General features: G+C 58.9%; 2 protein-coding genes across 73 annotated transcripts in view, besides 10 other annotated features; both read right to left on the bottom strand.

Annotated features, from left to right (window-relative positions):
• Positions 1 to 13039, bottom strand: part of DMTN (dematin actin binding protein) — a 33595-nt gene extending 20556 nt beyond the window's left edge. For 15 of the 67 annotated variants that reach the window (NM_001323378.2, NM_001323384.2, NM_001323389.2 and 12 more), the window contains exon 1: positions 6963 to 7063. The gene's annotated coding sequence lies outside the window, so the exon portion shown is untranslated. Of the gene's footprint in view, positions 1 to 2473; positions 2891 to 4004; positions 4107 to 4833; positions 5157 to 6962; positions 7194 to 8183; positions 8416 to 12745 lie in introns of those variants that run through there. The other 52 variants (XM_047421497.1, XM_047421502.1, XM_047421500.1 and 49 more) reach the window with 11 other exon arrangements.
• Positions 1152 to 2113: an enhancer, noted in NCBI's record as "H3K4me1 hESC enhancer chr8:21917368-21918329 (GRCh37/hg19 assembly coordinates)". NCBI's record gives its function as "activates a minimal SCP1, AML or CMV promoter by ChIP-STARR-seq in naive H9 embryonic stem cells {active_cell/tissue: H9 hESC(naive)}" and the evidence as "EXISTENCE:reporter gene assay evidence [ECO:0000049][PMID:30033119]".
• Positions 3077 to 4038: an enhancer, noted in NCBI's record as "H3K4me1 hESC enhancer chr8:21915443-21916404 (GRCh37/hg19 assembly coordinates)". NCBI's record gives its function as "activates a minimal SCP1, AML or CMV promoter by ChIP-STARR-seq in naive H9 embryonic stem cells {active_cell/tissue: H9 hESC(naive)}" and the evidence as "EXISTENCE:reporter gene assay evidence [ECO:0000049][PMID:30033119]".
• Positions 9730 to 10522: an enhancer, noted in NCBI's record as "H3K4me1 hESC enhancer chr8:21908959-21909751 (GRCh37/hg19 assembly coordinates)". NCBI's record gives its function as "activates a minimal SCP1, AML or CMV promoter by ChIP-STARR-seq in naive H9 embryonic stem cells {active_cell/tissue: H9 hESC(naive)}" and the evidence as "EXISTENCE:reporter gene assay evidence [ECO:0000049][PMID:30033119]".
• Positions 10523 to 11317: an enhancer, noted in NCBI's record as "OCT4-NANOG-H3K27ac-H3K4me1 hESC enhancer chr8:21908164-21908958 (GRCh37/hg19 assembly coordinates)". NCBI's record gives its function as "activates a minimal SCP1, AML or CMV promoter by ChIP-STARR-seq in naive and primed H9 embryonic stem cells {active_cell/tissue: H9 hESC(naive and primed)}" and the evidence as "EXISTENCE:reporter gene assay evidence [ECO:0000049][PMID:30033119]".
• Positions 10523 to 12055: a biological region, named in NCBI's record as "VISTA enhancer hs781".
• Positions 11199 to 12055: an enhancer, noted in NCBI's record as "VISTA enhancer hs781". NCBI's record gives its function as "enhancer in: forebrain[10/12]" and the evidence as "EXISTENCE:transgenic organism evidence [ECO:0001131][PMID:17130149]".
• Positions 13161 to 22298, bottom strand: FGF17 (fibroblast growth factor 17). 6 transcript variants are annotated; one of them, XM_011544684.2, is made up of 6 exons: positions 22221 to 22262; positions 20304 to 21224; positions 18789 to 18815; positions 15679 to 15856; positions 15337 to 15443; positions 13161 to 14014 (listed from the first exon to the last, which is right to left on the bottom strand). In XM_011544684.2, exons 2-6 carry the CDS (start codon positions 20394 to 20396, stop codon positions 13721 to 13723), a joined length of 699 nt encoding a protein of 232 aa, XP_011542986.1. In that variant the 5' UTR covers positions 20397 to 21224; positions 22221 to 22262; the 3' UTR covers positions 13161 to 13720. The 6 variants fall into 6 exon arrangements, with proteins under 6 accessions (XP_011542986.1, XP_011542985.1, XP_011542987.1 ...); XM_011544683.2 differs by having other exon boundaries at positions 20304 to 22298; XM_011544685.2 differs by having other exon boundaries at positions 15679 to 15823; positions 20304 to 22298.
• Positions 15127 to 15632: an enhancer, noted in NCBI's record as "H3K4me1 hESC enhancer chr8:21903849-21904354 (GRCh37/hg19 assembly coordinates)". NCBI's record gives its function as "activates a minimal SCP1, AML or CMV promoter by ChIP-STARR-seq in naive H9 embryonic stem cells {active_cell/tissue: H9 hESC(naive)}" and the evidence as "EXISTENCE:reporter gene assay evidence [ECO:0000049][PMID:30033119]".
• Positions 15633 to 16139: an enhancer, noted in NCBI's record as "H3K4me1 hESC enhancer chr8:21903342-21903848 (GRCh37/hg19 assembly coordinates)". NCBI's record gives its function as "activates a minimal SCP1, AML or CMV promoter by ChIP-STARR-seq in naive H9 embryonic stem cells {active_cell/tissue: H9 hESC(naive)}" and the evidence as "EXISTENCE:reporter gene assay evidence [ECO:0000049][PMID:30033119]".
• Positions 16833 to 16882: an enhancer, noted in NCBI's record as "active region_27075". NCBI's record gives its function as "activates an Ori minimal core promoter by ATAC-STARR-seq in GM12878 lymphoblastoid cells {active_cell/tissue: GM12878}" and the evidence as "EXISTENCE:reporter gene assay evidence [ECO:0000049][PMID:35858748]".
• Positions 17155 to 18392: an enhancer, noted in NCBI's record as "VISTA enhancer hs782". NCBI's record gives its function as "enhancer in: hindbrain (rhombencephalon)[10/13] | midbrain (mesencephalon)[10/13] | forebrain[9/13] | tail[6/13]" and the evidence as "EXISTENCE:transgenic organism evidence [ECO:0001131][PMID:17130149]".

Raw genomic sequence — 22699 nt, 5'->3', positions numbered from 1 at the left:
GCCTGGGAAATATAGTGAGCCCTGTCTTTACTTTTTAAAAAATGAAGAATTATCCGGGCATGGTGGTGCACATCTGTGGTCCCAGCTACTTGGGAGGCTGAGGCAGGAGGATCACTTGAGCCCAGGGATTTGAGGCTGTAGTGGGCTATGATTACACCACTGCACTCCAGCCTGGGCAACAGAGTGAGATTCTGTCTCCAAAAAAAAAAAAAAAAAAAAATGAGAATTAAGGTTCTCTGCAGATCTTACAGGTGAGTCAGAGGTTTGGAGGGGTCACTCTGAGGAGCATGTGCAGCTGCACACAGAGAGGGGCAGGAGGGAGACTGGATAACTTCAGTGTGTTCTGGAGCCTCGGGGAGGCCCTGGAATCTTCCTGAAACACCACCGGGGGGAGGGGCACAGAGTGTGAAAGTGGCTATCTGTCAGAGTGGTGGCTACTCAGAGAGGTGAAAGGTGAGTGGCCCAGGGTAAGCCATGTCTCAGGAGTATGTGGTCATATATCCCCATACTCACACGTGCACAAATACCGTGCCAGAGGCACAGGCACTCAGAAACATGATTCAAAATCCTGATGGTCACAGTCATATGAACAGCTGCCATTTATAGAACGTCTGTGTTACAGCTGGCACTGTGCTGGGCAGTTCACATTTTTTCTTTCTTTCTTTCTTTCTTTTTTTTTTTTTTTTTGAGACAGGGTCTCACTCTGTTACCAAGGCTGGAGCACTGTGGCATGATCATAGCTCACTGCAGCCTTGACCTCCCAGGCCCAACCCATTCTCCTGCCTCAGTCTCCCGAGTAGCTGGGACTACAGGAGTACTCCACAACACCCGGCTAATTCAAAACAAATTTTTTTTTTTTTTGTAAAGATGGGGTCTCCCTATGTTGCCCAACCTGGTGTCGAATTCCTGGGCTCAAGTGATCCTCCCACCTCTGCCTCCCAAAATGTTGGGATCATAGGTGTGAGCCCCTGCCCAGCCCATCTTTGTTTCAATTTAACCCTTACATTCCAATCTTGTGGGTTGGCTTGGATTGGCGAGTACCTCGTTTGCACATGAAGAAGTTGAGACTTGAACAAGTTAAGTAGTTGGTCAAGGACACAGTATTGTGTGGAATCTAAGCTCAGGTCTGTCTGATTTCTAAAACCATTCACCAGGATACTACCCAGGCAAAGCTGGTGTGAGTCACTAAGCCTCTGGCCTCTCACCTCTGCTCTGTCTCCAGTCCCTTCCTGCCCACAACCCCACTGCTGGGTCTTGCGCTTTAGCATCTGGGTCTGCTTCCTGGGGTCAGCCAGGGCCCTGCACCCTGGTGCCACCCCCTGCCATTTGTTAGAGAGCATGTTGGTTGATAAATTATTTCCACAGAGGCAGAAATTTTGTCTTACCCCTTGTGGGGCATTTGCACGTAAACGTGGGCCTAGCCTTAAGGCATAATGTTTGTACTGGTTAAATTTTAAGCTGTCAGAAGGCCAGCCGGGAAAATGGGGGTGGAGAAGAGTGTGTGTATATGTGTGTGTGCGTGCGCATGTGTGAGGGGGAGAGAGAGAGAGAGAGAGCGAGACAGAAAGAGAGAAAGAGAGAGAGAGTTTCCTTGGCTTCTCTCAAATCACACCCTGCCTACTCCACCCACAAGTAGCCCTTTCCATCAAAGCTCATTTCTCGCAGGTCAAGTGCCAGCTCACTCCACCTCCTCCCATCCAGACCCCTCTCCCATCCATGCACCCCGCCTGTCTGTGCCTGCATCCCCAAGGTCCCAGCGACCTCCGTGCACAAAGAGATAGAAAGGGCGAGCTGCAGCAGGAAGAGGGGAGGGAGGGAGGAAGAGAGAGCACCACAGAGGAAGGCAGGTCCAGGTGACGGAAGGGACAGCTCAGCTGCCCCTGGCCCTGGTCGGACGCCAGCCAGCCGCTCGCCCTCCATCTCAGCCCCACCCTCCCCCAGCTGTGTGTCCCTGCCTTATCTGAGCCACCAGCCCAGCCCCACCTCACCCACCACCCTCTCCTCTCCACAGCTCCCCAGGATGTGGGTGATAAGACCCGCCCACTGGGCCCTCCGAGTTTGTGCCCACTCATCCTGGCGCGCTCTTCTTCCAGGCAGAAACTGATCCAGACTGTGGCTCCCCTGGACTTTTAGAAATGAAGCCTCCGCAGGCAGAATGGCAACTTCGGGGTGGAGGGCCCCTGGTCTAGCTGTGCTCCTGTTTCCAGCCAACCACTACCTGCTTGGTGGCAGCCCCTGTATACTTGGGACTTTCATACATCGTCTCTAAACCTCACACAAAACGACATTCTCCTCATTTAGAGATGAGCAAAAATGAAGCTGAGAGGTGAACTTGCCGAAGGCCCCCCAAATAGAAGCCAAGCCAGAATCCCTACCCCGGCCTGCCTGAGGCCAAAGCCAAGTGCTCTTTTCAATGAGTACCAAAGATCCCAGTTCAATCAAAATGTGGGACTTGGGGGTCCCACGTGCTAACCTTAGACAGTGGAGCCACCCAGAGTCCTGCTCGTTGATGGCATCTGTAGAAGAGCAGCTGGGAGTGTGGGGGCCTCTGGCTCCGGGCCACACAGGCAGCAGGGTCCAGCCAGGCTGGAGGCCGGCTGGTGCAGACAGTAAGTGAATTATGAAACGAGGCAAGTCATCCAAGCAGGCTGGCGTCGGTGGGCAGGGAACTTTGCCCCGCTTCGCCTTCTCCTGTTCTGTTCACAGTGCGACTGCCTGGCCCTCTCTCCCTTTCTTCCTCCTGTCTTTCTGCTTTCTCTTCTGGTCCCTTTTCTTGGCTTTCTTCATCTTTTCTCCCTCCCTCCCTCTTTCCCTTTCACCCTCTCCCCTACCCAGCCCCACCCCCGCAGTTACTGTGGCAACAATTCAATGCCAGAAATAAAGGCAGAATCCAGCTAGGTCACCAGTTCCCAAAACAGCATCCTGGGTGGGGAGGGGCAGGGAGGGTGGAGCAGTGCGGCGCTGCAGGGCAGGGGCCAGGCGCTCCCATGGGTGCTGTGCATGCGTGTGATGTGGGTGGGGTAGGGCACCTTGCTCCCCGCACCCCCCCGCCACTGGAAAAGGACACCAGGAGGCTGAGGCCTGCTCTGGGCCAGTGGCTCATCAGAGGTGTCCCTTACTTAGGCGAAGCCTGAACTCCAAGTCTGTCCTAAGGCTGGCAGAGCCTGGGGACTCCCTCCTCTTCTCCCACTTTCTCCCTCTCCCCTACTCCAATGTTTTTTACCGTTGTGTCTGCTGGGATGAGGGTTCCCCTAACCCAGCACTACAGGGCACCCTCTCATACTCGGATAAAGGACCAGGCCTGGGTGGGTGGGGAGCCCAGAGTCCCCCTGCTCAAGGCCTGCCCTCCCTTGTTCTCTCAATAACAACAAAACCGGGCCCAGGTGCCCCCTCCTGCCTCTCTAGCCCACCCAGAGACGCATCTGTGCAGCCATCTTCTCCTAGGTCTCTCTCTGGTTTGGTTTCTATGTGCCCTCTCCACCCACCCTCTGAAGAGACCCCGCTTTCTGCTTTCTGCATCCTGCAGCCCCCTCAGGCGGACTGCTTCCCCTCCATTTATAGCTGGTCCTGTTGTACAAGTGGGACTGGCAGAGCTGGGGGAGATGCAGCCTCAATTCAGCTTTCTGGATCCCAGGGCCTCCCTGTTCCAGTCCCACAACACCCAGGAGCTCTAGGAGAGGGATTCTGCAGACATCCACCCACGGGTGGACAACCTCACCCAGGAGTCTAACGCCTGACCACAGAGAGGCCGGCAGCACGGACACAAGATGGACAGGTGGGCACAGGCAGAAGCGCCCGCGCTGAAACCGTTGCAGGACGCATGCACGCGGGGAGACTCCGAAGCCCTGTGTGCCAGCTCATGCCCCCACTCTCCCATCGAGGCCCCCTCACTGTGACACATGGTGCTGCCAACACCCGCTCACACCCACCCACCGGTCCTCTCCCTGGCATCCATCCCAGAGTAGTGCACGTGTACAGCAACATACACAGAGCCCTCCACTTACCCAGCTCTGGAGGCCTTCCCTGGGCTCCCCATTCCCACAGCCCAACTGCCTTCCTTGTCTTGGACCTGTCCCTGCTCCCCTGACTCTCACAACCAGGCAACTGGTCCCTGGAAGGGACACACTGGGTGTGTCTGCCCAAGAAAGGGGGCTGGACCTGCTAGGCCCTGAGGGACAGAGCTAGGGAGGGGGAGCCCCAGAACCCTGTGGGGGCTGCATGTCTGCTCAGCCCTGGCCCCTTCAAGCACCCCAGCGGCGGGCACAGGGGGAGTACTGGGCTTGGGCTTGCAGCTGCGCCCTGCCACAGCCTCACTCTTCACTCAGCCCCACCCCAGCCTGGCCAGCCACTGGCTGGGGGCAGGCTCTCCTCCCACTCCCCCTAAAAAGCAGGCTCCAAACAAACAGCCTCAGGCCCCTAAATGTACTGCTCCAACCCCCAGAGCATGTGGAGTGGTTTTGGGGAGGCCAGCGGGCCAGTATTCAGCAGAGAGGGAATGCTCCCCTGCCCACCCCGTGCCCCCACAGTCCATCCCTTCCATTGCTGGCCTGCTCAGCTAGGTAGGCCAGGCAGAGATGCTGGCAAAGAGGGGATTGGGCTGGGAGCAGTTCTCATCCTTGGGATGAGAACACCCCAGGCCCTCTTCCCCAGATCAGAAGGTTCCATTAGATCAGGCCCAGCTGGTCCCAGGGGCCGGCCCATCCTCCCACTGAACAGGGCCCACAGTGGGCTCCCCCCAGATACCCTGCTGCCACCCAAAGCCTGGCTCGCCAGCAAGCGCTGTGGCCCAGAGTGCCCACAGAGGGGAGGAGAGGCGGAGACCCTGCCACCTACCTCTTCCCAGACAGTGTGGCCCAGACGCTCTGAGGCCACAGAGGCCCGAGAGGCGTAGGCCAGATCCACGGGCTGTCACTTCCCCCAGGAGCCTAGGTAATAGGTGTCTCTTCCAGGAACCCCGCGGCGCTTCCCCGGAGCACAAATAACAGGAAAAATGCCGGCTTAGGGTGGGTGGGCGGGGTGGGAGCTGGCGAAGGAGGGGAGCTGGTCTCGGCTGAGCGGTCTGATCTCCCCTCTGGGCCCCCACCCTCCTTGCCCCCACCCTGCTTCTCTGCAACGCACGGCCGCCTGGATCCCCCGGTGCTGGGGAGTCCTCGTCTGGGGGCGGGAGGGCGGGCGGGCTGCTGGCTCCCCCACGCCCTCCCCGCGCCCTCCCCACTTCCAGCTGATAGCGTGTGGCTGGCAAGGGTGTGTGTGTGGATGTGCGCGCTCTTCCACCAGCGCTGCAGCTCAATCCATTTCAAACAAGAGGAGCATTAACCCAGCGTCATGACAAAGCAGAATCAGCCAGCACTGTCCTCTCCCTTTCCCACACCGCAGTCTGCAGCACTCACACGCACACACACACCCACACGCACCCAGAGCCCCTCAGCCTCCTCCTAAACAGCCAGAGTTCAAGTTGCTGTGGGCGGTGGGTCGAGGGAGGGGGCTACTGATGACCCAGGCGGACAATGCCTGCTTTCTCCAGGCACCTGCACCTCCTACCCTATTCATGACCACCCCACCATCTGACAGCAGCAACTGAGGCCTCTGGGGCCCAGCCTCTTGAGGTGGGGGTGCAGGCACAGGCCAGAATTGGTTACCCAAGGATGAGCTCTCTCCTGGGAGGGTAGAATGGAGGGATGCAACCAGGTCCTCAGTACTGAGACTTGAGCTGGCCCCTCAGTAACCTGAATCCCCTGGGAACTCCAATGGGATGCAGCAGAGAGAGAGAAGGACCCCATCTCTCCCTAGGGTGGCTTCATGAAAAAGGAGCTTCCTGCCTGGTAACCCCTGGGTCCCAGCACAGAATTTACAGGCATGTGCCTTCCCTGTCTCTAGCAAAGCCTCAACCACCCCAGGAGCCTCTCATTGGCCTTTCGGGCCCCCTGGGCAGGATGGGGAAGGACAACAAGCCTTGCCCTCGACCCTCGCCCTGGCCCCAATGTCCTCTCCACCTCCACACCGCAGACTTGCCTACCTAGGCAGCCCTCACCGTTGCCCTGGCAACCCTGCCCCCAGCCGGTCAGCTGATGGTATCAGCTGTTGTTGGGGAAATCTAGAATCTGGGGAGGGGGCTCTGGGGTGTCTGAATGGAGAAGCACAGGGGGAGGGGCTTGAGGGAAGAGGCCAGGAGGGGACAGAAAGTATCTGGCTGGTGGGGACAGAGAGGACAGTAACCTGAGGGATGGGCTCCAGAGAGAAGGGAGGAAGGAAGGAGGCAGGTGGCTGAGAAGGGAGACAGAACACAGGCTGAGCTGCTGCAGCCAGGCGGGGGTGGCTGTGAAGGTAGAGAAAACCTGGGGGTGGGGGATGAAGCATCAGATCCATGGAACTGCAGAGAAAAAGGCCAGGAGAGTGATGTGGGAGGGGGCATACCTTCAATGTGGCAGAAAGGGGCACAGCCTTGGAGGAGGAGCCACTCCAGCCATCGCTCCACAACCAGCCCGGCCTCAGCCCAGCCTCTCGGCTTTCTGTACCTTCAACCCCACCCTTACTTCCCTCTAATCAGAGTCTGAGAGACAGAGGGGAAGCCCCAGCCCCACTCCAGCCCTAGATGATCTCTCTCGGTCCCTCCAGCGGACCAGGTACTTGGGGCTTTGACACCTCAGCCCTTTAGAATTCCTGATCCCCGCCGCACCCCGACCTGGGTTCCTCCCCTGTATTGCCCCTCCCCCACCAGGCCCCACCCCAGGAGAGCTGTCTTCTGGTGCAAGGGTCCCCAGAGGTAGAGTTGGAATGAGCTGATGCCAGGAAGGACAGCTGTGGCCAGGGGCCTGGAACGAGGTGGGTGATGAGGAATGGGTAGAATCGCTGGGCCTGGGAGGAGGGGTGCCTCCTCCTATTGAAGCCAGTGCATGTAGGGCAGAGTAGGGGGAGTCAAGGGGAAAGGGCGGAGGGGAGAAGGAGGGGAGGGTGCTCGGTACCTTCAAGGGCCCAGGGCGTGGGGCAGGAGCGCAGCAGCCTCCTCGGTGACATACACCTCCATCCCTCGGCGCATCTCCTCTCCACCTCCTGTTGCCAAGACAACCTGCCGGCAGCTCAGGCCCGGCTCAGCCGCGGCAGCAGGGAGGGGGGGAGGAGGAAGCTGTGCCTCCCGCTGCCTCTTCCTCAGAGATGGAGGGAGGGGGCCTGAGGGTGGGTCCTCAGTGCTGGGGCTGGGGGTTAGGGGACAGCTTCAGGAGCTAGGGTGCCCAGTGAACCCCACCAAGTACCCCATCCCCCCACTTCCTTTCATAAGGCTCTAGAATTGGCTTTAGGGGTGACCCCAGGAGAACCCTAATTCAGGGCTGGAGAGCAGGCCAGTCTTGAAGAGTATGCAGCACTGGGGAGAGTCCCCACTCCAGGAAGCCCAGTGTGGAGCTCGGGACAATGACAGGCAGCAAGGCAGGGACAGTCCTTGTGCTGAAGGGCCAGAGGGGTTGCTCCGGCAGGGTTCAGAGGCCCCTGGGCGCTGGCTGCACTGGGCACGCGGCTGCGGGCCCCACACCTCTGCCGTCTCTGTGAGCACCTTCACCTGGTCCCAAACCCTCTCTCATTCCACCTGAGAAAACTCAGAGCAAGGGACAGCTCTCTTCCAATTCCTCAAGGCCCCATTCCCACTGTCCCCCACCATGCCTGAGTCTCACATTCTATCGGAATGTCCCTCCATGGGTGGGGCGGGCGGGCCACCTTGGGCAGGAAGAGTGCTCAGCCCAGCCAGGCCTGGACCCAAGGGGACTGCAGAGTGAGGGCTCCCTCTGTCGACCTGAGGAGTGGTAGCTGCCAAGGTCATTTTGCTGCCAGGGATCTGGGCTGTGTGTGTGTGTCTGTGTGTGTGTGTGTGTGTGTATTGGTGGTGGGCGTTCAGAGGGGAGGCAAGGGGACCCTTCTCACCCATGCCATCCTCTGACCCTACCTCGTCACTGTCCTTGTCCCATGGGAAGACTCACTCTGCCTCCGGCCTCCTCCCCCTGGGAAGGCCTCTGACCTCTCAAGGCCAGCTGAACTGAACTCCCCCATGGCTTGTCTGAGAGGGGAGATTCTCCCCCTTGAAAGCTGGCAACACTGAACAACAGGTGCCTGTTGGCTCAGGCCCCAGGCGGGTGGGCTTCCTCAGCTCTGCTCCATACTGAGCAGGCAGGAGGCGGCTGCCAGGGCTCTCATACCTTTGGAAGTTCAGGAGTTCTCAGGACCTTGAGGATGGGCGCTTGTGTCCACAACACGGGGCCAGGATTCCTGTATCTCTCAGGCAGGGGGGTCCCAGGCCCCCCGACGCCCCGTTCTTGGCTCCTTTCCCCACAAGGTCACTGGTGCCAGATGTCCTGGGTGGACTCCGGCCCTGCTGCCTCCTCCCTCCCCCAGGCCCTGTCGATAGGCTTCTCTGTCCACGTCTGGTCTGTCTCACTCCAGTGCCCCCCGGCCCCACCCTACACACCAACCTGCTGGGCGGGGGAGCTATCTAAACATTAACTTCGGGAGAGGTGGAGCCAGGGCACCTGGACACTCAGGGAGGAAGGAAAGGGTGACAGAGACCTGAAGAAAAGGAAGGATGAGGGCCCCAAAGCCACCATTCTCACCAGAGATTGGGAGCCATGTGCCCCTGCCTCCGGGCATTGGACTCTGCTGCCCAGACCCTAGAGCCTCCACTCCTTCAGCATGCTGCCACCAGACCACTGCATCTGGCCCCCGCAAAGCCCCTCACCATCTCCTCCCTGCCACAGCATAAGGACCAAACTCTTCATCATTTGATCCAATCACTTCCTGCCACTTCTCTACACAAATTTCAGCTCCAGCCAAGTAGACGGACTATTCCCCTTCCCTGGAGCACACCTCCCATTTTGCCGCCTTGATTCTCGTGCCCGTTTTTCCTCTCGTCATTTTCCGCTCTGTGCATATTTTCTCCACTGAAATCATCTGAAATCATGCAAACCCCAGACCTTCCACAAAGCCCCCGCAAGCACCCTGGCCTGTGCTCTCTCCTGCCCCAGAACTCACGATGCCTGGGCACACTTTGCAGGCAAAGTGTGGAAGCCGGGCAGAATCTAGAGTGCAGTGCTCACTAGCTGTGAGACCGTGAATGGCCTGGCATTTCTGAGTGTGAACTCATCCACATGTGCTACATGGGAACATCTCACTGCCCTAAAGAAGGATTGCAAGCAAGTATGCCCTGAGTGTGGCCTAGCACATCTCCTGAGCTCGGTACATATTAGTTTCCTTATTCCCAATAATTCTTATCTCCCCTTTCCCTCTTTGGGGACGTACGAAAAAAAAAAGGTTGCTTTGTTATGTCATGTGTAAGAGAGGGTTTTCCAAAAGTCCCACCAAAGAACAAATAATTGCCTTTTTATGGGTTTATCCCTCCAATTAAATTTCAAGTGCCTTGAGAGCTCTATCTTGTCCATGTTTTTTATTAACAGAAGGATTAGCACAGGACTTGAATGTTGTGGGGGGAAAATAAACACTGGGACTAACTGCTTAAGCCCCCGCCCCACCCACGTCTGCCTAAAGAAGGAAGGAGAAGGCAGGATTCTGGCCTCTCTCCTGCCTCTGCCTAGAGGGATGGTGGGGTGTTGGGCCAATGACTTCTTTCTAGGGCTTCAAGTGGTTTATTTCCTCAATAAACATTTACCCTGTGCAACATACTGTGCTGGGCACTGTCGGGGAGGAAAAGATGGACTATTTCTACATCTGGGGCACTTGCTATTTAGCGGAATCATGACAAGCACATACATCATGACAGTTCTGGACAAGCTGTGACATGTACCACAAGGCAAGGGCAAGTGAATGGCTGGCAAGACCAGTGGCAGTGGAGACAGTCGCTCATCCCGGGGTAGTGCCAAGAGCCTATGGAGCAGAGGAGGAGCCTGCGGTCTGGGTGTGTGTGTGTGTGCTAGAGCAGGACACGCCAGGTGGCGGGGACCCTTCAAATGAGAATGGGGACATGCTTGCTTGATAGAGTTCCAGTTTTCCAGTATTCTTAAAGGGGAGTTGTGGGGCTAGGGCCGAATAGGGAGACTGGACAGGGCTGGACAGGAGTCTTAAAGATGACGCTAAGGAGTTTGGCCGGGATAGTGTGGCGTGGGTAGAGCTGTGGTTGATGGTAGGGAAGGTAAGTGGAGCAAACTCGGATGTACTGGACTGGAGGGCAGTGTTGAGAGGCACAGAGATGATGTAGGGAGCGAGTGGATATTTAGATAGATCCCAGTGAGGTCTGGCCACGGTGCAGAGCCCCAGGGTTTGGCAGAGAGCAGTCACGCGCAAGGAGGCGGTGGCTGAGATGCTGAGGTTGCTCAGAGGGGCAGCTGGCAGACAGAGAGCAGAGCGGGAGGGAATCTTGGGTGAGGGTCCTCTGTGAGGAGCTGGGAAAGAGAAGCCAGGCAGGACAGCTGAGGGCAGGCCGAGGGGGGTGGGGTGTGGCTTAAGGAGAAACGGTTCTTTGCCATAGCAAGCGCTTGGGGCTGAAGACACTGAGGACTGAGGCAAGGCTTTCGGCTTGGTCCCTGGAAAGTCACTGTCTCAGCGTCAGAGGGACAGGATTGAATAGAATGATGTAAGTGGAACCAGTTTGTGTGGCCTAAAGAGTGAGTGAATGTCCCCCTCTGATGACCTGCTTGGCTCCCCTCTGCCTCGTCTGGCTGTTTGGAGGACAGGGTGGAGAAAGGGGAGGTAAATTTGTGAGCCATTCTTAGTGAGAGTTCTTGGTAATCCCAAACTGGCGTGAGACTTGAGGCACTGGTGGCCGCTGCCGCCACCTCCCTCCACCTGGTCACATCCTCCCCTAAATGGGTTCGTGTTTCCCCAACGGCAAGGGGCTATTAGCAATTAGCCCCCTGTGGCTACTCCATGCTCACACCTGCATAGACCCAGGCGCTCAGAGGCAAGCAGGGTTGCTGAAGCCAGGTGTGGTCTGAGGACCTGGGGGAAGTCTCCTTCCTTCCAACCGCCTAGATGTGCATGTTAAATCTCCTCTGAAGTGCCATCATTAGGGATCTATTCTTGTGGCTTCTTCCTTTTAGCATCTTCGAAGTCACCACCAGTTCAGGGGGAATGAGCTGAACAGACTTCCAGAGCCTGAAGACCCACCTGGGGAATGGCAGTGCCTGGACACTGGGCAGAGGCGCCGAGAGGTGTGGTGAGGAGAAGGCTCAGTCAGAGACCAGCCAGGGACCCAGGGACCCAGGGACCCAGAGACCCAGAGACCCAGGGCGGGAGCAGGCGCTGGATACCTCGGGGATGGGGTGGGATGAGGGCACTCCCTGGGACAGCACAGGCCTCTGGAGCGGCCCTCCCTCTCCCTCTCCCTTCTCTGTCCCTCCCTGCCAGGTCTCACCTCAAAAAGCAAGAAAGAAAACAGTGAGGGCTTTCTGGAGCCAGCCCCCAGAGGCCTGTCGGTACCGGGGAGGTCAAAGAGAGGGAGGGAGGGAGGGGCCGGAGAAAGGCCGAGAAGAAAGCGGAGGCAAGACAAAGGGCCCCGTCCACCTTTGAAGCCGTCTCTAACCCGAGCGAGGGAGGGGCAGGGGTGGGCCGGAGAGCCGGGCTAGCGGGGAGGCAGTCTAGAGTTTTAAAGAATGTCTCAAATTCCTGCGGAAATCAGAGGGATTTTAAGAGCCCCCTCCCCAACACACCTCCTTCCCAGCCTCCTCCCCAGCCACCCCCCAAAGTCCAGTCTTCTACACCTGGGGGGCCCCCAACCCTTTGTCCTCAAGTAATTGCTGGGTGTTGCCCCCGTTAAGTCCCATTGAACTCGCCAGTTATCAGCTGTGGCTCCAGACCACCCTCCCGACACACATCCCAGAAAACTACCCCCAACACGGCGCGGTCTTCACTGGGATTAAGGCTCTTTGTGATGGGGGAGAGAAAAAAGTAACCTGGTGAAAAGCAATTATGACGAGCAGTAGGGAGAATGTCTGTCCCAGGGCCGGGGACCTCCCTCTTGGCTGCCGCTGTCCCCACCTTCTAAATTGCCCCGTGGTGGGGGTGTCAGACTCTGCGCCGGCGCTCGCCATCAACTGAGACTGTAGCTGCACCCACCTCCCATTTTCACTGGACGAGGGCCCTTCCCCACTTCCTCTCTCATTTTTAGGCCATTCTAGGGAGCAGAGAGGAGAAGGGATGTGTTTCATCCTTCTCTCTCCATAATCCCCCTCCTCAAGGTAGTCTCAGAAAGAAGAGGGAGAGGAGGAGAAACAGGCTGGAAGGGGTACATCCTCAGAAGAGAGGACTCAGTGAGGGAAGGGGAAACTGAGGCTGGGGGACATCCTCAGAAGAGAGGGCTCCGTGAGGGTAGGGGAAACTGAGGCTGGGGCCCCACCCCCAGAAGAGAGCGCTCACTGAGGGTGTTCCCCCTGAAGAGCTGACCTGGTGGGGTGGCGGGGGGGGGGGGTTGTCCCTGCGAGGAAGACCTCCCCCTCGACAAGATTAAAAGCCAGCGCACTGAAGAGGCGGGTTTTATGGCCCCCGAGTTCCACTCCCCACACGCACACCTGGAGGACCCTGGGAAAGCCCACCGGAGAAGCTGGGGTGGGGGCAAGGCCGCCCCTTCCTCCCCGCCCCTCTCGCCCCCTACCCCCCGGGCCATCCGGGCCGGGCCGCTGCCTCTAATTGAGATTTGCCCTCAGGTGTGGCCCCCGCCCCGGCCCCGCGGGGACCCGGGAGGACAGGGGACGCCTTCTCGCCCCCTCCCCCCTTCCGGCCGCCCAACCCCGCTTCCCGCCCCCGCCCTCCTCACCGGAAAAAAAGCAATCTCGCTGCCCGAGGAGGCTCCTGGCGTCCGCGGGCCGCCCGGGCTCCGCCGGGCTCCGCAGGGCCCTCGCCTGCGCCTCGGGCCTGGGGCCTGGGGCCCGGGGCCCGGCTGGATGCACGTCCCGGCCCCGGCCCCGGCCCCTCCGGGGGCTCGGGTTTTCTTCCCCAACAGGTAGCACGGGCCGCGCCGCGCGAGCCCAGGAAACCCGAGCCCGCGCCAGGGAGGGGCCGCCCGGCCTGGACGCGCCCGCCTCCCGCGGGGCCGAGCCCGCGGCCTCCTGGGGGCCCCAGCGCTGCGGGCCGCGCCTGCACCTGCCGTGGCCACGCCCGGCCGGGGACGGGCAGGCTCGTTTCCAGGGGTGTTCGGTGGTCGGATCCCCCGCCCCGCTTCAGATAACCCATTTGCAGGAAAATGGTTTTATTCCGGGGCTGGGAGTTGGGGGTGGGGTGCAGGCCTGGGTCGTGGAATGTGAGGAGTGGACAACCCTCTATTTTCCTCTCTCTCCCTTTCTTTTTTCCTGAAACAAACAAACAAACAAAAGTCCCTTCCTACAGTCTAGCCAGGAGGAGTTTGGGGGCTGGGGGCAGACTGAGGGAGATCCGAGAAGCAGATTTTGAGGACAGCCACCTCCAGACGGTTGTCTGCAAGGCCTTCAGTCGCTGACCTTTCAGCGGGCTTCAGGAGCCCGGCTGGGAGGCCGGCAGAGGCTGGTGGCCTGAGATCAGGGTGACACTCAGTTCCTCTCCAGGGCCTGCCACCCGTCCGGGAAGGGGGCACTGTGCCAGCCGCCCCTGGGGCACCGGCCTGCCCCTTCCCAGCTGGGGGCTCGGATGCTTCGCGGCCCTCAGGGTCCTCCCTCGGGGATCTGGCTCCCCTCCCGCCACCCCAGCCCAGTCCTTGGATTAAGAAGGGAAAGGGGTGGGGAGGCGGCCCAGGGGCTGCTGCCCCCTGCCTCCCAGACTACGTGAGGGGCTGGGGCCGCCGTGTGCGCTTGGTCCGGCGGGTGGGGGCGGAGCCCACAAACTCGAACTGCTTCTGCTTCTCGGCGTGGTTGGGGAAGGGCAGCTGGCCTTGGTAGAGGCGCTTGATGAAGTGGGCCTCGCGCTGGTTCTGGCGGCTGCGGGAAGCCTGGCGGGGCCGCCCCTGCCGCGTGAAGGCCATGAACCAGCCCTCGTGCCGGGCGTTCTGGAAGGCCGTATAGTTGTTCTCCAGCACGATCTCCGTGAACACGCAGTCTTTGCTCTTCCCGCTGGGCTGCGGGAGAAGCAAGGACAGGAAGGGCATTTGTCCACCTACCCTGGTCTGGGGTGTCGCCCTTACGGCCTATTTTGGACGACTGAGGAGGGACAACGGGAACAACGGGGCCGTGAGCCCAGGGAACTCTGCCTGGTGAGATGGCATCCTATTTAGAGAGGCAACAGTGGCCAACAAGAACACGCTTTGTGGATCTGAGTTGCAGGCTTGTCGTTTAGCGGTCCTGAACCAGGCTGGGCCTCAGCTTCCTGAGATGTAGGTGAAGATCAAGGACCTGCGGCATTTCCCAGCATGCACGGGCCCTTAGCACTGAAATGCTCATGCAGCCTAGGTGAGGGGTGCTGCTGGGCATGGGAGAGGAGGCAGCAGCCTCCAATGAGAAGAAAGAAGGGTGCCAGTGCAGCCACCCATCCCACTCTGTCTGCAATCAGGGGTCTGTGCCCATTTCTACAGACAAGAAGCCTGAGGCTTGACAAAGATAAGCAAACCAAAGGTTATTTGGTCAGCGACAGCCGAATGGGAAGCTGGGATTGCCTGGTTTCAAACGAAGTGGAATTCTCCCACCCAGCAGGGCCCGGCCTACCGTGTGCTTTGGTCACAGGGGCAGCTGCTTAGTGTCTATCTTGCTAGCTGGAGCCCACTGGCCCCACTGAACTTGGGGGAGTTCCTGTCTTACATCTGTGCCCCACTTTCCACCCTCAACAGCTCTTAGTCCTCCACCCAGAGGCTGCAGTGTCAGGTAGATGCTAAGCTCTTACTGATGCCTGCTGGAGAAATACTCCTGACATCAGCCCCACAGATCCCAGTGGCTTGCCAGTCCCCTCAGAGGGCTAATAGAGTCCCGGGGACTCATTTAAATAGAGAAACCAGGCCGGGCTCCGTGGCTCACGCCTGTAATCCCAGCACTTTGGGAGGCTGAGGTGGGAGGATCGCTTTAGCCCGTGAGTTTGAGACCAGCCAGGGCAACATAGTGAGGCCCTATCTCTACAAAAAAAAAAAAAAAAATTAGCTGGGCATGGTGGCATGCACCTATAGTGCCAGCTACTACTTCAGAGGCTGAGGCGAGAGGATTGCTTGAGCCCAGGAGTACAAAGCTGCAGTGGGCTATGATTGTGCCACTGCACTCCAGCCTAGGTAGCAGAGCAAGACCCGGACTCTAAAATAAAAACCAGAGAGTGGCCCAGTGGGTGGGCTGAGAGTAGGATGGGAAGTCTTTACACAGGAGGGTGTGTGGCTCAGAGGAGAGAGGGGAGCATGATGCCCTATATGTCCCCACCCCAGTAGGGCTGATTCTCTGTTACTTCCCAGTCTCCCAGCCTCACCTTCCCGATGAGCTTGCCCCTCTTGTTCATACAGATGTACTTCTCACTCTCAGCCCCTTTGATGCGAACCCGGCTGCCAAACGTGTCCGTCTCCACTATGAGCTTGGCTGTGGTGGGGGAGGGGAGAAAGACCTCCGTCCATCGGGGCTGCCGGCCTATGGCTACAGCAGGGGACCACCCAGCCACACTGACCTCCAGACTCAGGCGAAGGGGTTGGGGACACTCAGGCCCTTGGGGCCCTCAGCCCTGACACAGGATCTGGGGATGGACCAGGAGGTGAGGCAGGGTGGAAGTGAGGCAGAGTGGAGGTGTGGGTGCCCTGGGGGGAGGGCCAACTCTCACCAAACTTGTTGCCGTCCTCGGCGGTGGCGGAGATGCGACGCCCGGTGACCTGCACGTGCTTGCCACTGGTCCTGCTGTAGAGTTGGTACTCGCGGATCTGCCGCCTGCTCAGCTGGTCGGTCATGGCGCCCTGGTCCCTCACGTACTGGTTAAAATTAGGAGACGGGTGATTCTCCCCCTTTGCGGTTACCAAGGGAAAAATAGTGTCAATTTGCTTTGGGTGACACCACCACTGGTCCATCCAAGGGAGAGGGGTGAGGAGGTGAATATAGTGGGGACAGGCCACTTGTCCTGCAGAGTGAAGTGGGCATATGGCCATAGCCTTCCCAGGCCCCTGGGTGAGCCGGTCATAACCTCTTTGCTTTGCGTCTACCTTACAGAAGGGACTGGGGTCTGCCCAGGCTGGGGGACACTTATTGACAGAGCACAGCCCTGGAATCAGGACTCTGGGAGCTGGAAGGAGCCCTCAGGGTTCTATCCCGTCCTCGTATTCTATGAAGGAGGTGCACGGGGCACACAGCTCATTAGGGACAGAACCCCTGTCCCTACCTCTTAGACCAGAGCCTGTCATCTCCCCCAGAACTCCAAGGACATGCTCCATTAGCCAGGACAACCAGATTCCTTCCTCATCCTCCCCACTGGCCTTGAAAGACCCCTTGCCCAGCACACGGGCACAGAGCAGATGGTGCTGCGAGTTAGGGTCACCAGAGAGCATGTGGGGGACTCTGAAAGCTCCTGCAGGGTCCCATGAGCATTTCTTTGAAGCACTAACTGTGGAATCCTGAGCTCATACCCATCTTCTTCCCGGCCTTGCCCCCTGGTGCTCAGGGCCCTTCCAGTGTTCCTCCCTCCTCTATGGGCTGGAGCTGGGGCTGGGGCTGGGGCTGGGCACTATGGGACAGCAGGCAGGCAAGGTGCCTCCTTAGCGGAGGGAGGCAGAGGCAGTACCAAGAGGACAGGCACTATCAGCGGTGGCCCAATGGCTGCCCCTGGCAGGCAGCTCCTTAGCCACAATGTAACAGAGGCTCCTGGCCAGTTGGTGGGATGCGCCCGCCCACCTGCTTCCCCTTTGGGTTGGGGGAGAGGAACCATTTCCCCCCACGCACTGTGCAAAGCCAGGAGGAGTACCGCCTCCCAGCTAGGTCTCTCGTTACCCATCTGTAAGGCTGAGTGGGAGAGACTGAGTACTTCTTCCCCTCCATCCTGCAAGGTGCGACCCGGGCTAGGTTTCCTGGCTCCTGGCAACAGCCTCAGCTCTAGCATGAGAATGTACCTTTTTTGCTGGTTTTGTCTCCACCTGGATGCCGCTGCCTGTGCTGGGACAGCTTTTCTCAGCCCCTGCCCCAAATCCCTAATTCCACCTTTATCCCAGGCCCAACCTCAGCCATCTGGACAGAGCTAGACCCAGATTAGCATCTGTTAGGGGCTACTCTCTCCTAGGGAGGGGGTGGGAAATATCACCTTTGAGGCAGGGGGAGTGAGGGAGCAGCTCTCAGAGCTGGACATTTAACCTGCGCGGGGTTAACACTTACTGTGCACCGTTGCTCATTTCCAATTGCACCTCCCCATAGAGCAGCCTCTGCCTAGCCTCTGCAAGACCTGCCCCTCGCCCCACCCTGGAGCATTTGGGGTGGGGGACCTGCCCAGCCTGCCCCACGCTGGCCTCCCTTCCAGGGGGTGGGGTCCTGCCTATCCCAGCCCCGCCTCCTGGCCCAGGTTCAGGCCCTCCGCCCCTCTTGGCCGACGGCCTCCTCTGGCAGTCTGTTCCAGGTCAGGAGCAGAAAGCGCCCCCCCGAAGCCCCCTCCTTTCCTCGTCCCCCTTCAAGCTTTTCACAAAAGCAGCCCCACGCCCCCCCACAGCCCACAACCCACAAGTCCCTCTCCCCGCGGGACCTAGCCTGTCCCTTTCATGTTCCCGCTGCGGGAGGACCTCCCCTTCCACCACTGCAGACAGCTGCTTGTCAGACAGCCCCTCAAGCATGGCTGTGGTCCGGCCTGCTGGCCCCCCCTCCCAGGGGGGTGAGGGGGCACTTCAAGGGGGAAAGGACCGCTTTGCCACCTTCCCTGAGTCCTGAATGGGGCCTCAGCCAGGCCATAAACGCCCGGCCAGCCGCACCATTGTGCTAGTTCCCCTCCAGAACAGGTTGGGCCCACCCCCAGCCCCCTCCCAGCCAGGCTGGGGGCTTTCTTCTGGCTCCCCCTGGATGTGTGAAGCAAAAGGCCTGGAACGGGGCTGGAGCAAAAGGGGGAAGGAAGGGGGGGGGAATTGTCTCTCCCTCTCCCACCCCCCCACTGCTTCAAAGGCTGCCCCTTTCCCTCTCCCAGAGAAAAGGCATTTACCTTCAAAAAAAGTCCCCACTGGATATGAAGAGAAGCGGGCCTCTGGCCTGGGAAAGCCAAGCGATCTCTCCCCAGAGCGGTTCTGGACCAGTGCATTTTAATAGCTGCACTTTTATGGAGGATCACAAAAAAGGGAGCAAGCCTCGCACTGGGGGCTGAGACTTGGGGGTGGGAGGTGTGCATGGAGGGAGGTGGGGGGCCGACTTGGGGTGGGGGGAGTGTGGAGAAGCGAACCCTGCATCCCGTCCCAAACAAACCTCTTTGGGCTTGACCTCTGTGCCCTCTAGGTGAGGAGTCACCTCACCCTGGCCAGGCATTCTGGACATGCTCACGAGACCCCCACCCCAGGCATCCATATTGATGGGAGTGGGGTGGCGAGAAGGACATACAAGTGGTCTTGCATCAAAACCTGTCCTTTCAGGTACTGGCAAACCCAAGCCTCACCTGAGCCATCACCTCCACCTGCTTCCAACCGCTCCAGGCTCCATCCCTCAAGTCTGGGGGAACCCGATGGAGAGGGAGGAAGAGGAGCAGAGACCCAGGGGAAGTGGGGAGGGTCCTCAGAGGGAGGACAGAGACAAAACCTCAGTCAGCCCCCTTCCCTGCCCACCCGGTCAAAGGCTCACTCCCCTCCAAACCTCAGTGCCTCCTGGACCCAGGGAGAGGCCAGACTCTGCCTCTGTCCACCTGAAAGGAGCCGGTCCCTTGCACCCGCCCTGGTCAGGTAGGGTGGAAAAATTGGGGGAAAGCCGGTGGGAATGCCCGCCTACCTGAGTTTGACAGCAGAGAATCAGCAGCTGTAAGCACCTGTGTGGGGAGAGGAGGTAAGCCCAGGTGTGGGTGCCAGCTGCAAGCCTAGGGTGCACCCAGGCCCCCGCCCCCGCCCTGCCAGCCCCGTGCACGCACGCGTGGGAGTCCCGGGAAGAGGAGGGCTGCCCTGAGGCTGGAAATGGCAACGAAACTCCAGTGGGAGAGGTAGCACACTTACAGAGTGAGGTTGGGCAGCAGGCGGGCGGCTCCCATCGCTGGAGAGGTTCCTCAGGCGGTTGCCCCCCTGCCCCCAAGCTCAGGAGCAGATGTGGGAAGTCCCCAGGGGTAGAGTCCCAGAGAAGCCAAGGTCTCTCCGAGCCACAGGTTTTCAGGGGGGCGAGGAGGAGAGAAAGGGGAGGAGGAGGAGAGAAAAGAGGGAGGAGGAGGGGGAGGAGGAGGGCGTAATTGGGAGACTGAGGTATGAGGTGTCCACCTTCCTGGCCAGTGAGGCTGCAAAGCAGATGCGGGTGGGGGCGTGCGCGCTGTGCCCTCTGGGCTGCCAGTCTCTCCTGGGCCACCCAGTGCAGGGATGGAGCGGTGGGGGCCTTCTGAAGGAGGTGGCCCTGCTGTCTCCTGCTCTATTCCTGACCCTCACAGACTGGCCAAACTCGACGCAGACAAACTCGATGTGTGGCAGGTCAGGGAGGGGGAGCCCTTCCAGGTCTGCGTCTCCTGCACTCAGGTCTGGCGCCCCACCTCCCCAAGGGTGAGCCGCAGGTGTCAAGTGGGGCTGGGGTCTCTGGTTCTGGCTCTGGAGTGGAAATTCCCAGAAGCAGCCTTAAAAGGAGCCGCCTCCCTCCAGGGGGCAGGGGTGGGCTTGGCTTGGAGCAGCTGATTGCCCGGGAAGGAGGGGTTAAGGCTGTCCTGATCGGCAGCAAATACTGGGCGCAACAGGTTGGGGGTCAGAGGTGGGTTGGCAGGTACAGATGGAGATCTAGGAAGAATCCCAATGGAGAGTTGCAAAAGCTAGCCTGAGACAGACACTTGGAGAAGAGCTGGGTGTCCTGGCCTAAGCCCCTTTTCCTTGGGCCTCTGTAGTTCCATCTGAGAAATGAGGACAGTAATGCCTCAGGGTGTTGGGGGGTCAAGTGTGAAATCAGCACATAGCAGACTTCAAGATGTCTGTGTTCTGAGACCCAGCTCCACTCACCATTCTGCATCCCCTTCCTTCCAGTGCCTGTCCCTAGAGCCTCTCTGAGCTAGGAGCAGCTCGGAGTCCCCTCCCTGTGTCCCATGTCCCTGAGCAGCTGCCTGGGATGAAGTGCCTACCAGCCTCTTCCCATGACCTCCGGTCTCATACTGCTCGGTACAATGCCAGCGACTAGCCCATTTTGCAGATGAGGAAACTGAGGCACATTGGGAGGTAGTTTGCTCAGAATGGCCCAGCTAGTGAATGGAATAGCCAGAATGGAAAAGTCCATGCTTCTTCTGTTCTGCATGGATTGAGTTGCCACCCTGCAGATCCAGCCCCAAACCTGCTTCATTGTAGGGATACAGAAGCCTTCCTGGGTTTTCAGGATTAAAGGTGGAATCCGAGGTCCTGGAGACCGGTGAACAGAGAGCTCCATGCTGTTCCCTCCCTACAGAAAAGTGGATGACGGTGACTGCAGAAGATAGGAGGGCTTGGGGGTCTCTGAGGGAAGACCCAGTGTGAGCAAGCAGAGCTCAGGCCTCAGCTCTGGGCTCCCTGGAGTTCTCAGCGCCCCCAGGGTGGGAAGGGAAGGGGAAGTGGCGGATGTGGATTTATTTACCTAAAGAGATGACCAGGGGAGCGAAACTCTCACCTGTGGGTCCCTTCTCACCTTCCTGAGCTCCATCAATCCACAAAGTGGTCTGCCACCCCTGCCCCCATGCACTGACCAGTGCAGGCAGCTCCGGGGTCTCCTCTCCGCAGGCTCTTCCTCGGGAACCCAGCCCAGGAGTGGGTGCTGCCTGAGCTTGTGTGGGGAGGATGGGGCAAGCCCTGGCCTTGCTTACCTGGGGGAGTCCAGGGTTTTGGAATGCAACTCAAAGAATGTCAAACCTAGAAGGGGTCTTAGGGATTCATCATTTGTTCCAACTTCCTCATTCCTTGGATGAGAGCCAGAGAGGGCAAGGGACTCGCCCAAAGCCTCACAGCTAGCTGGTGGCATGGCTGGGACAAGGTACCAGGTGCCCGCGTGCCCACCTCTCTGCTTTCCCCCTGCGGATCCTTCAGGTCACTTCTGTTCCGCGTTCTTCCCATCATCTGCAGTCTGGGTTACACTCTGCCTCTTCTGGCAGCTCTGGCTCATTCCCTGAGAAACCTTCAACCTCACATCCACATCCTCACCACTCCCAGCCCCCAGGCAGGGCATTAAAGAGAGCACAGACACGTGGAGGGGACAGCTCAGGCCTTGGGTTGGTGGAGGTGTCAGCTGGGGGGCGAAAGGTGGGTAACGGTTCCAATTTATGCTGTCGGGACTCACTGGCCATGGGGACAGTGGGAGCCACTCAAGGCCTCTGAGCCCAAGCACCTGTTTCTATCCATGGGGACAGGGCCTGCCATCACTGGCCCAGCCCTCAGGCCAGCCTGGGTCTCCATGGTAACAGATGCCAGCAGTCAAGCTGGGCCTCGGGGCTTAGCCAGGGGGTTAGCTCTGGGCATGGCTGGATGGCCTGTGTCACAGGCAAGACAGCTGTGGCTCCTTGTCCCTTCCTGTTGGGCACCTGCAGGCCTGGCCTTCTAACTTGGTTTGCTCCTTTACGCCCATGGGGAAGCCAGTGGTGGGCCCCAAGTGGGGAGGCAGCATGGAGCCCTTGATTTTATCCCCGCCCCTTTGCCCTGGTCCTTATACGCTGTGTGACCTGTGGCAAGTCCCTTCACTTCTCTGGTTTCAGGGTCCCAGTTTATAAAAAGGAAATGGCTACCAGCAGGGATACTGTCAAAACCACCGCCATCCACGTCAGCTGAGATAAAGGACTCACAGAAACGCATCAAGTGCCACAAGAATGGGGGCAGGGGCCCTTTTTGTGGCTTAGCCTCAGTTGACCTAAACTGTCAGACTCTCTCCCTTGACTGGAGTGAGCTCGGGGAAAGGGGGAGGGAAGAAGGGTGGGGTTTATTAACATTCATTGCTGGGGGGGTGGGGTTCAGGAGGTGATAAGGGAACTGAGAAGTAGCCTGGGCTGCTGTGGTTAATCCTCACCCCATAGTGCCAAGTTCAACACCCCCCAGCTGGGGTCGTCTCACGCCTGCCTCTCCTAACAGCCCAGCTGGTGCAAACACAGAGCCCACCTGCAGGTCAGCCACTTGCCACCACCTGCTTGAGCCCAGCCCACCCTCTTCCTGCTGAAAAACAGAAGAGTTGGGGCAGGGGAAGGGCAAAGGGCAGAGGGCAAAGGGCACCCTAGCAATGAGGATGGACCCTCACCTTTGCAAATTTTTCTTTTTTGAGACGGAGTTTCATTCTTGTTGTTCAGGCTGGAGTGCAATGGCGCGATCTCAGCTCACTGCAACCTCTGCTTCCTGGGTTCAAATGATTCTCATGCCTTAGCCTCCCAAGTAGCTGGGATTACAGGTGCCCGCCACCACACCCAGCTAATTTTGTATTTTTAGTAGAGACGGGGTTTCTCCGTGTTGGTCAGGCTGGTCTCAAACTCCCGACCTCAAGTGATCTGCCCACCTTGGCCTCCCAAAGTGCTGGGATTATAGGCATGAGCCACTGCATCCGGCCTCCACCTTTGCAATTTATTTCCTACTGCCTGCTTGCAAATCAAAATCAAGTGATCACTGGTTTATCTGTTGCGCGCCTTCTTGTGCTTGGGGCCAAATATGCGCTTGGCTGTAGAAACGCCTAGCTGTCCCTTGAGGACTCCCATTACATGGTTGACTGACTTCTAACTCCTGCTC

Source organism: Homo sapiens, chromosome 8 (assembly GCF_000001405.40).
Source record: "Homo sapiens chromosome 8, GRCh38.p14 Primary Assembly".
Taxonomy (NCBI): domain Eukaryota; kingdom Metazoa; phylum Chordata; class Mammalia; order Primates; family Hominidae; genus Homo; species Homo sapiens.
This window is presented reverse-complemented; position numbering and strand designations above follow the sequence as displayed.

Bases quoted from the DNA above. Each gene is read 5' to 3' on its own strand.
- FGF17 (XM_005273675.2), bottom strand. From the start codon at position 15,997: ATGGCCATATGCCCACTTCACTCTGCAGGACAAGTGGCCTGTCCCCAC. The intron at 15,444-15,678 runs GTGAGAGTTGGC...CCCCCACCACAG, and splicing joins CGAGGACGGCAACAAGTTTG to CCAAGCTCATAGTGGAGACG. The intron at 14,015-15,336 runs GTGAGGCTGGGA...CTTCTCCCGCAG, and splicing joins GGGGCAAGCTCATCGGGAAG to CCCAGCGGGAAGAGCAAAGA.